Here is a 12,717-nt window from a genome sequence, read left to right as displayed (position 1 = left end):
GTTGCAGTGAGCCGAGATCATGCCATTGCACTCTAGCTTGGGCAACCAAGAGTGAAACTCCGCCTCAAAAAAACAAAACAAGAAAGAAAAGAAAAGAAAAGAAAACAAAAGAAAAGAAAAGAAAAAAAAGAATCACGGTGAGTCTATGTTTCTTGCATAGAACCTCTGGGGTCCCAAGTGGCCATGGAGGCCACAGTTCTACTTCCGGCCCTAGCCCCGCCCCTACCCGCCTACCCACCATCGCAATGCATGATGGGCCACCACTTCACTTGGGCCACATCCACGAGACCCGAAGCTTCTTCCAGGTGGTGTGTGGCTGCCCCGAATGCGCTTTGAGAACATCCACTCCTTCCCCAATTTATATTGGGGGAATCAATAGTTTTTGTGCCTATCACCTCGTGTAATCGCAAAGATTTGTGCATAAAAGTTATGCCAGGCCGTGCACGGTGGCTCAAGCCTGTAATCCCAGCACTTTGGGAGGCCTAGGCGAGTTGGATCACCTGGGATCAGGAGTTCCAGAGCAGTCTGACCAATATGGAGAAACCCCGTCTCTACTAAAAATATAAAAATTAGCCAGGTGTGATGATGTGCACCTGTAGTCTCAGCTACTCTGGAGGCTGAGACAGGAGAATTGCTTGAACCCAGGAGGCGGAGGTTGCAGTGAGCCAAAAGCGCGCCACTGCACTCTAGCCTGGGCGACAGAACGAGACTCTGTCTCAAAAAAAAAAAAATAAAAATAAAAATAAAAAAGTTATCCCATTTCAGGGTAAGGGGATCACTGTATTTATTCCTCTTTTTAAGTCCAGTGGAAGTTAGGGATGAAATTGCCCAATGTGAGCCATGCCTTTTTAGTCTCGTAATTTGTTTCTCCCTGGAAGTCCTTAGCAACAGGCAGGAGACAGCAAAGTTCCCAGTGCACTGTGCTGAGTGGCAGAGGGTAGACCTGGCTCCATAGGAAGTCTGTCAGCCACAGACTGAACAGCTCCGTGGCTTTTGACCATATTTGCAGTGTCTCCCAGAGTTGTGAGCAGAAGCAGAGAGAGGATGCTGTGCACCAAGCGCTTGTAGGATCAGGCTTGCCCTGGCAGTCAGGCCATGGCTCTGGTGTCCAGATGATGGAGGGCAGGCCTCTCTGCTGTTGTAGCCGGGCTAAGCAAGTATGTTAATCTTCCTTTGTCACTAGGTGGCAGAATATAATTAAGATGTCAGAATTTCTTCCATAACATTGGAAGGCGTTTCTAGTTCCTTCTTAATGACCTCCTTCATTACTTTGCAGTATTTGCTAATGCCGTTTAGGACTGAGGCAATGAAATAAAATTTCCTTCTGCAAACATTTTCTATATTTATCCAGGATTCTACTTTTTTCATTTAACTGGCTTGCCTCTTAGGGAGAAGCATCCTTAACATAAAGTACATTCTCTTCTTAATGGCTACTGTTTGGACAATCCAAACTTCTTATTTTTATGTATTATTTTGTTACTCTTTGTGGGGTAGAAATAAATACTCTCCTGTCACATGTAAAATTTCAAATAGGTTTATTATAATGCATAATGTGATAATCCATTTTATAAATTAAAAATACATGAGTCCACATTGATAATAAATAGCTTTATTGATTTTCCTAACTATAAAGGCAATAGACACTCATTTAAAAAATTCTGAAAATACAGAAAAGTATAAAAAAGAAAAAATAATAACCAGTAATCCCACTATTCAAAGAGACCAAGCAGAAGGATGATAGAGTACCCCTGAATAATTGATCTTATCAAGTTGATGAAGCATAATTCTAAAAAAAACACATGGGTAAATATATGCCTCATAAAATATAATCCTGGGCTACCTGAAGGCCTGGGTCAGCACTTAACTCTTTTTTTTTTTTTTTTTTTTTTTTTTTTTTCCAGATGGAGTCTCACTCTGTTGCCCAGGCTGGAGTGCAGTGGCATGATCTTGGCCCACTGCAACCTCTGCCTCCCGGGTTCAAGCGATTCTCCTGCCTCAGCCTCCCGAGTAGCTGGGATTACAGGCATGAGCCACCACACCCAGCTAATTTTTGTATTTTTAGTAGAGACAGAGTTTCACCACGTTGGCCAGGCTGGTCTCAAACTCCTGACCTCAGGTGATCTGCCCACCTCGGCCTCCCAAAGTGCTGGGATTATAGGCGTGAGCCACTGGGCCCCGCGAAAACTATTTTTTATTAACATTTTATTATGAAAAATGTAAAGCATATACAAAAAAGTAGGAAGAACTTTATAACAAACCTGATGTATCCACACCCAGCTTCAAAAATTATCAATACATGGCGAATCTTGTTTCATCAATGCATGCTGACTTTTCTCCTCTCTAGTCTAGATGATGTTGATGATGATGATGATTACTGTTATTATTTGAGATAGGGTCTCACTCTGTCTCCCAGGCTGGAGTGCAGTGGTACGATCATGGCTTGCTGCAGCCTCGACCTCACCAGGCTCAAGCCATCCTCCCACCTCAGCCTCCTGAGTAGTGGGACTACAGGCAGATGCCACCACACTTGGCTCATTTTTAAATTTTTCCTAGAGACAGGCTCTCACAATGTTTCCCAGGTCTGGCCTCAAGCAATCCTTTCTCCTTGACCTCCCAAGGTGATGGGGTTACAGGTGTGAGCTATCGTGCCTGGGCCCTGGGCTAGATTATTTTGAAAGAAATCCCAGACATTGTTTCTCTTAACTTATACATATTTTATCTGTATTTCTAAAATAAGTTCTATAGAATCTGTGCAGTTTTGATGATTAACACATTAAATAATGCAATATATTCCTGTGAATTCTACTAAGGACTCACACGGTTGCCCACAGAAATGCAGCTTTGTAGAGGGTGTGGGTGATCTGACTGGAGTGGGCCAGATCTCTTGCCTGTGGAGTTGGAGATTTACTCTGCTGGGGAAAATACATCTCTGACCCAGTGTGTTATCTCCCTTCAGCCTTCAGATGAGTGTATGCAAAGAGTTTCAGTGAACAGACAGCAACAGACCAAAAGTATAGATAGCATATACCAGCTGAGAGTCTCCTCCAATGCCAGTCTTTCACATGCTCCCTGGTCCATTTTCAGTCATCAGAGGAGCAAAGAGTCTTCAGCTGAATCTCCTGTGCTGGAGGTCTTTCTCTTCTGGGGTCTTAGTATCGTGCTCCATTTCTTGCTTTTCCAGGAACGGGCTAAACTCCTACCATTTCCTCAGCTGAATGTTCACCTTCCTCATTTTCCCCTGATTAGCAGCAGCCTGCAGTACCCCTTTTACCCTTTTGCCCTAGCTGGGTTAGGTACACCTTTTCTGCAAGGGTTGCTGTATTTTCCTCCCTCCTCACTTCCTCTCCAAGCTCCCACTATTACATGAAGGTCCTAGTCAGTTTCCTTTTCCAGAGTGCTAATACCACAAAACTTGGCTGGTTGGTCCTGCTGCTTCTCTTTTCCCACTTCCACTTCCCCATGTACTGGATGCTTGCTACGTGTCAGGGACTGCACTCTGTGCTGGGGATAAAAGAATGAAAGAAGCAGAATCCTGCCTGGAAGAGCTTGCAGACTGGCTGGAGGATCTAGGTGAACAAGAGAGGGAACATAAATAAAGACAGTGAAACATAAAATGTGCCAGAAAACATGATGACATCAACAGTGATGACTAATGTTATTAGTGCAAAGTATTACTACCAACAACTAACATTTAATTGTACGGCTACTGTGTATGAGATGCTGTAACTCACTCCTTGTTTACTGTATTTTTAAATATTTTTGTTTCCTTTTGCTGTAAAATTTTTACATGTTTGTTTTAAATTTATTTACTTAATTGTAGGTAACTTTTTAAGCCACTGTAAATCCATTTGGAAACAAAGAGAGGAGTAAAAGGTAGGCCAGGCATGGTGGCTCACACCTGTAATCCCAGCACTTTGGAAGGCCGAGGTAGGTGGATCACTTGAGGCCAGGAGTTCAAGAGCAGTCTGGCCAACAGGGCGAAATCCCATCTCTATCAAAAAATAGAAAAAATTCGCTGGCCATGGTGGTGTGTGCCTGTAATCCCAGCTGCTTGGGAGGCTGAGGCACAAGAATCACTTGAACCCAAGAGGCGGAGGTTGCAGTCAGCCGAGATCATACCATTGCACTCCAGCCTGGGTGACAGAGTCATACTGTGTACCCCCACCCCCAAAAAAGGGTGAGCTTACTCTGCTTGGGGGAGTCAGAAAAGGCTTGCTCAGAACAAGCATTTTCTTTTTGTATTTATTTTAATTTTGAATCTGATTATACATTCATATAGTTCAAATGTATAACATAAAAATTATAAACATATATATACATACACATATGTATATACATATGCACACACACATACACATATATATATATGCATATATACACACACATATATATATCCCCATTACCCTTTTGTCCATCTCCACATTCTCCAAAGGTAACTACTGCTATTAGTTTCTTGTGTGTCATTCCAGAATTTCTGTGTGCATACATGAGCAAACATAAATAAGTTTCTTTCTTCCTCCCCAAATGTAGCATATTATACTTACTGATGGGTAGTTTGCTTTTTTAAAAAACATTTTATCATTTAGTGGTTAATACAATGGACTCTGGATTAGAATGCCTACATTCAAATCCCAGTTCTGTAATTTACTAGCTGCATGAACTTGGCAAGTTATTTAACTTCTTTGTGCCTTAATGTCTATTTCTGTATGTGAGGTCTTCAAAATCTTGCAACTTTATTATAGACTAAACTTTATCCTGTACTTTATGCATATATATGATGCAACTTTATCATAAACTGAAATCTCTTATGGACATTCTATTCTGTTCTATTGGTCTATCTGGTCATATACCTATACCACAGTTTTAATTTTTGAGGTTTTTACATCATATTTGCTATCTAATAGGGCTGGACCCCAGAAGGGGATTTGAAAGATGAATTGAATTTGAAAGATAAATGGAATCCTCTCAGCAGAGATGATGACATCAACAGTGACAACTAATGTTATTAATACAAACTATTACTACCAACAACTAACATTTAATTGTATGTCTACCATGTATGAGATGCTGTAACTCACTCCTTGTTTACTGTATTTTTTTTTTTTTTTTTTTGAGACGGAGTCTCACTCTGTCACCTAGGCTGGAGTGCAGTGGTGCGATCTTGGCTCACTGCAAGCTCCGCCTCCCGGGTTCATGCCATTCTCCTGTCTCAGCCTCCTGAGTAGCTGGGACTACAGGCGCCCGCCACTACGCCCAGCTATTTTTTTGTATTTTTTAGTAGAGACAGGGTTTCACCATGTTAGCCAGGATGGTCTTGATCTCCTGACCTCGTGATCCGCCCGCCTTGGCCTCTCAAAGTGCTGGAATTACAGGTGTGAGCCACTGTGCCCGGCCTGTTTACTGTGTTTTTAAATATTTTTGTTTCCCTTTTGCTGTAAAATGTTTACATGTTTATTTTAAATTTATTTACTTAATTGTAGGTAACTTTTTAGGCCACTTTAAATCTTTCTGGAAACGAGAGGAGTAAATAGAAAAAAAACCAGGAACTGTATCAGGTGCTTTGCGTAATAAATCCCTAATCTTTATAATAACCTGTCTTAGTCTGTTTGGGCTGCTATAACAAAATACCTTAGACTGGGTAATTTATAAACAATAGAAACTTATTGCTCACAGATCTGGCAGCTGAGAAGTCCAGTAACTAGGCATCAGCAGATTCACTGGTGAGGGTCTGTTTCTCATAGATAGCCACCTGCTATGTGTTCTCACATGGCAGAAAGGGCAAACAAGCTCTCTGGCTTTTCAAAATAAGGGCACAATCCATTCACCAGAGCTCCACCCTCATAACTTAATCACCTCCCAAAGGCCTCACCTCTTACTATTACTACATTAGGAATTGTTTCAACATCAGTTTTAGGAGGACACAAACATTCAGACCATAGCACAATCCTACAAGGTAGATGGTATTATCCTCCTTTTACAAATGAAGATACTGGTGCTTGTAGAGGTCGAGTAATTTTCTCAAGACTGTAGAGCAAATAAATATAAAGTCAAGATTCAAACCAAGGTCTGCTGATAATACACTCTCTGTGGTTCCTGGTACTTATTTAAACAATACTGAATGAGGTTCTTCATTAAGGTCCTTACAAAGATAGTAGAAAAAAAATACCTGAAAAAGAAATAGAATGGCTGGGCCTGGTGGCTCATGCCTGTAATCCCAGCACTTTGGGAGGCTGAGGTGGGCAGATCACTTGAGGTCAGGAGTTTGAGACCAGCCTGGCCAACATGGTGGAACTCCATCTCTACTAAAAATACAAAAATTAGCGCGGCGTGGTGGCAGGTGCCTGTAATCCCAGCTACTTGGGAAGCGGAGGCAGGAGAATCACTTGAACCTGGGAGGTGGAGTTTGCAGTGTGCCAAGATTGCGCCACTGCACTCCAACCTATATGGCAGGGCAAGACTTGGTCTCAAAGAAAAAAAATTAAAAAGAAAAAGAAAAAGAATGCATGATAGGGAATAATTATATACAGTTTTCCTAATAGTGAATAGATATATATAGTAAATATGGACTATGACAACGCATCATTACCATGTGATTTAGGTGTTAACCACTGTGCTAGGTGTCGAGGATACAATGATAAATGCGATCTGGCCCCTACCCCTTAACTCCTCCTCTGAGAGTTAGCTAGCAGATCTTTTTGGCCTAGACTCTCCATCTGTTGCACCCTAGGAATCATCTAGTCTGTTTCTTTATCCTAAGCAGCTTTATGCCAGCCCTTTTTTGTTTCAAAGTTGTTAATGCATTTATGATTAACCAGTAGTGGCTTCTTGAAGTGCTGTTTTAAAGAGTATACGGTTATATCTGGAGTCAGTGGCAAAAAATGCAGTGATTAGTCATGCCTTCCATGGGGGCAGGCAGGAGAAATGAAGGCAAACAGAACATCTATTTGTTACACCTGAACTAGTTGTCCAGAATGATCAGTTTCTCTCTGCAACTGTTACAAATGATCATTTTATTGCTGGAACTCACCATTTCTTAAATCAGTGTATAAACTATTCCCCTCTTGGGAAGTCCTAGAGCAAAGGAATCCATTTAACTTTGTTGTCACAGTATCACAAACATATTTTTTTGTCCAAGGAAGCTGTCTCTTCTTCATTGCTAATTATATAACCCATACCAATGCTGGAGGTGTCACTCTGCTCCAGGTCTGTAGATGTGTTCACCATCACTGCACATGAATGCTCTTGATTTCCCAGTGTTGTCATAGTGACTTTTGTTGAGGTGGGAAACCCCTGGGCTGAATGCTACCGTGTTCTGTGGAGGCCCTTATTTAATAGCTTTTCCCTCTATTTTGCCATTTAAAATTTCACTTCCTGTCACAGCTGGAGTTAAAAATGCTTACTAGTTGCCTGTCTGGAGTTTTCCTCTTTAAAATTTTCAAGGCCACACACAAATGAGTTCTTGCATTTCTGAGGTGTATTAGAGGTAGTTTTGTTTATTCTATTTGTTGGCTGAAAGCCATGCTCATCAAGGAAATACTCTCTCTAAGAAGTTAATCCTTAAATGTCTTTTACTTCTTGGGAAATGCATTTGGACAGCTGAGGAGGTTTCTATTCTCTTGTGGCTACCTGTCTGGCCACAGAAGGTGGAGAGAAAATGGAGGTTGTGCTATATCTTGGTGTAGTCTTGGAAAGAGTATTGCATTTAAAGTCACTAGTGGCCGGGCACAGTGGCTCATGCCTGTAATCCCAGCACTTTGGGAGCCCGAGGTGGGCGGATCACTTGAGGTCAGGGGTTTGAGACCAGCCTGGCTAACATGGTGAAACCCTGTCTCTACTAAAAATACAGAAATTAGCTGGGCTTAGTGGTGCAAGCCTGTAATTCCAGCTACTCGGGAGGCTGAGGCAGGAGGATCACTTGAACCTGGGAGGCAGAGGTTATAGAGAGCTGAGATCACGCCACTGCACTCCAGCCTGGGTGACAGCAAGACTCGGTCTAAAAAAAGAAAAGTCACTAGCTCTGGATGTAAGTCCTGGTACCATTGCTTAGTTGCTATGCAGTCTTGAGCCAATTAACTAAACTGAACATCATTTGACTCAACTATAATATAAAATGAAGATTATTACAATATGGAGTTGTTGAGAGGAATAAATGGGATGGTATAGGAAAGCACCTTTGCAAAAGCATTATTGTTAGATGTCTGGGTTTGCATTTTTCCTTGTTGGTTTCTCTATTATTCTTGTCTTAACCAGATGCAGTGTGTATGTGAAATGCAGTCTTTCCTGCAGCATCCAGATGTGCTTTTTATGAAAAGCTGGTAGACCAAACACCTGATACTAAATCCAACTTGGTTTTGGTGGCGGGACTCGTCTTGTTTTCCCTTCACTACTCTTCTTGTTCATCATGTAGATCTTCAGCACAGTATTGATCATCATTTATAAATTACACCTTAATTGTAATGTCTTTTAACATGTTTGTGAAGAAAAAGAGGTGCTCTCTCCCCCACAAAATTTTATTATTTTTTATTTTATAAATAAAAATATATTTTTAGAGACAAGGTCTCACTAAGTCACACAGGCTGGCCTGGAACTCCTGGGGTCAAGGAATCCTCCTGCTGCAGGCTCCTGAGTAGCTGAGATTATGGATGTGCACCACCATACCCACCTCACAAACCTTAAAAAAAAAATTTAGTTGAGCGAATGCAGCAGCTAGCTCATGTTCTGGGAGAAATGGGAGCCTAAGAAGGAAAAGACAGAATGTTAGAAGAGAATTACCGGCCAGGTGTGGTGGTGCACGCCTGTGATCCTAGCACTTTGGGAGGCCGAGGCGGGTGGATCACTTGAGGTCAGGAGTTCGAGACCAGCTGGCCAACATGGCAAAACCCTACCTCTACTAAAAATACAAAGATTAGCTGGGCATGATGGCAGGCATCTGTAATCCCAGATACTTGGGAGGCTGAGGCATGAGAATCGCTTGAGCCTGGGAGGTGGAGGTTGCAGTGAGCTAAGATCGCACCACTGCACTCTAGCCTGGGGGATAGAGCGAGACTCTGTCTCCAAAAAAAAAAAAAAAAAAAAAAAAAAAATTAGTCAGGTGTGATGGTGCACGCTTGTAATCCCAGGCAGTCAGGAGGCTGGGGCACAAGAACCACTTGAACCCAGGAGGCAGAGGTTGCAGTGAGCCAGGATCGCACCACTGCACTCCAAACTGGGTGACAGAGTGAGACTCTGTCTCAAAAAAAAAGAAAAAAATAAAAAGAGAGAATTACCTATTTGACAAAATGTTGAGAGTCTGTACTCTGCATCTTAACTCAGGTGAAGATGATGATCCGTGAGGTGGGATCCCATTGCATAATGCACAGCTTCCTGCCATCTCTCTGGCTCTATCTCACTCCTTTTTCTTCTGTCAACTTCTCTTTCCTTCCTGAAACAACTGTCACATTCCTTTCTAGTGGACATTTACACCACTCAGACCCCTTTTAAGAAGGACTTGCTGCCCATGTCCAGGGAGTGGGTTTGCAGACAGCCTCCAGCTGTCCAGCAGCTTCAGGGTCTATTCAAGCAGGGAGAGCTGCCTTGCCCAGGGTCATGCTATTCTCTGGGGAGCCCACAGCCGGTGACTGAGCAGGGTAGAGGCATAAAGGCTGGGCCATTTCAGCCTGATGGGAGACACTCTGATGGGCATACTTGCTCCAGAGCTCCCTCCCTGGTTAGTTGTGGCTTTAGTGGGCCTGCATCACAGGTCAAACTCTTCTGCCCAATCCTGCCTCCTCCTCCTTTCTTTCACAGATATTGATTCCTAATAAACACTTTTAAAATATGTTTAAAATACATCAGTTTTATTGAGATATAATTTACATACCATAAAATTTGCTCTTTTAAAGCATACAGCTAAGTGGTTTTAGTGTATTTATAAAGTTGTGCAATCATCACCACTATCTAATTCCAGAATATTTTCATGACTCCTAAAAAGAAGCTCCATACCTATTAGCAGTCACTCCCTATTTTCCCTTCCCCTATCCCCTGGCAGTCATTACTCTACTTTCTGTCTCTAGATTTGCCTATTCTGGATGTTCCATATGAATGGAATCATATAAGTGGCTTTTGTGACTGGCTTCTTTTTTTAGCCTAATGCCCAGCCTGGGCAACAAGAGTAAAACTCCATCTCAAAAAAAAAAAAAAAAAAATTAAAAAGGGAAGAGAGAAGGACCAGTTGAGAGGTGATGCCAGAGGGACTGGTAAGGGCTGCATTATTAGTGGCATTTATGTCATGATGAGATATTTGGACCCTTCCTGAAGCAGTGGAGACTCAGAGAAGGCAGGTAAGGTGTGATCAGATGTGCCCTCGCTTCATTTGTGGATTACAAATGGTGGGCAGCTCTTCTGTCTTCGAAATCATTCTGAGTCAGTCGGAGCCTGGGAGGAGGGATGTTGCTGGAGGTGAAGGGATGAATTGTAGGTTGAAGAGGGCATCAGAATGAATATCAGGGGCGCAGGATATGCACATGAGACTCAAGGGAAGGTGGAAAGGTAGCAGGGGAGACAGGCAGTGTGGCATGTTGCAAAGAGCATGGGCTTTGGAGTCGGACACACCTGGGTTTTGATTCCTTTTTCATCTCTTAGCCACTCTGTAGTGTTAGGCAGATTACCTAACTTCTTTGATTGGCTCTTTCTTAATCTTTAAAAGGAAGATAATAACCCTAACCTCTCAGTATTTCCTTGTGAGGCTGAAGTGAGGTAACCTATATAAGGCAATCAACTCCTCTTAGCTCATTTTCCCTGTCTCCATTCCTAGGGCAGGCCCAAGAGGTAGCACCCAGGGTGGAGGCCTAGAGTTGGATCATCAGGTAACCAAGGGCAGAGGGCAGGGAAGGTCAGGGGAGCCTGGACCAAGGAACAGGAAGTGGGAGGGAGAGGAGGGCCAGAATTTAGGGAATTGCAGGGCTGGACCCAGGCAGAAGTATCTCTGTATGGATGAAATTTTTTTGAAGCTTAATTCTTTCTGAAGTTCCAGAACTACCTTTCTCTGAAACACTAATTCAGGCCTCTCTGCAACTGTGAATGGTGGCCACTGGGATCCATTTGGATGATGGAGCCTGACAAACCTCACACTGAATTTTAGCCTCTGACAGTGGGCCAGATACAGTGAAGCCAAAGGCTGTGTTTTGGAAGGCACAACTGCCTAGGGATGAAGAGTCTGTAACCAGCCACCTCTATCCGTTCTTGCTTTCTTTTTCTTATTTATTTATTTTTTGGAGACAGAGTCTTGCTCTGTCACCCAGGCTGGAGTGCAGTAGTGCCATCATGGCTCACTGCAGCCTTAAACTCCCGGGCTTAAGCGACCCTCCTGCCTCAGCTTCCCAAAGTGCTGGGAATATGGCCGTGAGCCACCATCCCTGGCCATGTCTTGATTTTTAAAAAGCTATTTCGCATCTGTTAGTTTTCACTTCCAAATGATACATGGTTGAGATCCATGGCCTCTGCAGCAACTTGCCACCCTGTGATGCTGGGACTGAGAGTCAAGTGGAGTTTGGCAGCTACTTCTGAGCCATCCTGGACACTTGCCATCCCAGATGCTAATCTCATCCATCCCGGGATCTGCCACTTATCAGCTGAATGGAAAAACTGCCGGCCTCCAGAATCATAAACACAGTGCAGAAAACCATGCATTTGACCTGTTAGAGATCACTCTTCTTCTGTGGGGAGATACTGCCAGCCTCCCGAAAGAAGAAAATGATACAAGAGCTGTGTGTTGACCTGTTGGGAATCTCTCATGGCACCACCATGTTTAAGAGTGCAAGGATAATTGAGGCATGTGGTAAGGAGCCCAAGGCCACAAGAAAACCTAAAGCGCTTCCGTTCTTTGATGCTTAATCAGGATTTGTGGGTATGTGATTGTTCCGTGTTCATTTATTTGGCAAATGTTTGCCCAGAACTTCCTATTACTCTGGAATTTATGCAATTGCGTTTTTTTGGATTAAAGATGATAAAATAGAAGCAGTTTCCCATGGTTTGATCTCATATATGACAGGCACCATGCCAGGAGCTGGAGATGCGAAGAAATGAAACATAGATTCTGGCTGAAGGCGCTTACAGAGTCCAGAGAGGAGGTGGACACAAATAACTGGAATTCAAGTGATACGGGTTCTATTACAGATGTGTACAAAGGGGTGTGTGGTACATACCCAAGAGCGAAGGACCAAAGCAAAGGCTTCCCAGAGATACCACTTGGGTTTTAGTATATGGAATAAGAGTTTTTTTTTGGTGAGGCCGGGCTCAGTGGCTCATGCCTGTAATTACAGCACTTTAGGAGGCACAGAAGGGTGGATCACCTGAGATCAGGAGTTCAAAAGCAGCCTGACCAACATGGTGAAACTCCGTCTCTACTAAAGGTACAAAAATTAGCTGGGTGTGATGGGGCATGCCTGTAATCCCTGCTCCTTGGGAGGCTGAGGCACGAGAATCTCTTGGACCTGGGAGGCGGAGGTTGCAGTGGGCCAAGATCATGCCATTGTACTCCAGCCTGGGCAAAAAGAGCAAAACTCCGTCTCAAAAAAATTTTTAAGAAAAGAGAGAATTTTTTTGTGAAATTCTCAAAATTGATCAGCTATGCTAGGGATACACAGTGAGGTGGCTTTGTACTATGCCAGGTTAGCTTAATGTCTATAATAAATTCTTTATTCTACATTACCTATCATCATTCCGCTTCTCTGATCGACC

At 43.0% G+C, this 12,717-nt stretch overlaps 1 long non-coding RNA gene across 1 annotated transcript in view, besides 1 other annotated feature; it reads right to left on the bottom strand.

Annotated features, from left to right (window-relative positions):
• Window positions 1-3,508: 3,508 nt before the first annotated feature.
• The window catches only part of LOC105376197 (uncharacterized), a 63,129-nt gene continuing 53,920 nt past the window's right edge, over window positions 3,509-12,717 (bottom strand). Inside the window, exon 4 of the long non-coding RNA XR_930205.3 lies at window positions 3,509-3,566. This is a non-coding gene — a long non-coding RNA (uncharacterized LOC105376197). The remainder of the gene's footprint in view (window positions 3,567-12,717) is intronic.
• Window positions 7,154-7,263: an enhancer, noted in NCBI's record as "active region_28737". NCBI's record gives its function as "activates an Ori minimal core promoter by ATAC-STARR-seq in GM12878 lymphoblastoid cells {active_cell/tissue: GM12878}" and the evidence as "EXISTENCE:reporter gene assay evidence [ECO:0000049][PMID:35858748]".

The sequence above is a fragment of the Homo sapiens genome, chromosome 9 (assembly GCF_000001405.40).
Source record: "Homo sapiens chromosome 9, GRCh38.p14 Primary Assembly".
Lineage (NCBI taxonomy): Eukaryota > Metazoa > Chordata > Mammalia > Primates > Hominidae > Homo > Homo sapiens.
This window is presented reverse-complemented; position numbering and strand designations above follow the sequence as displayed.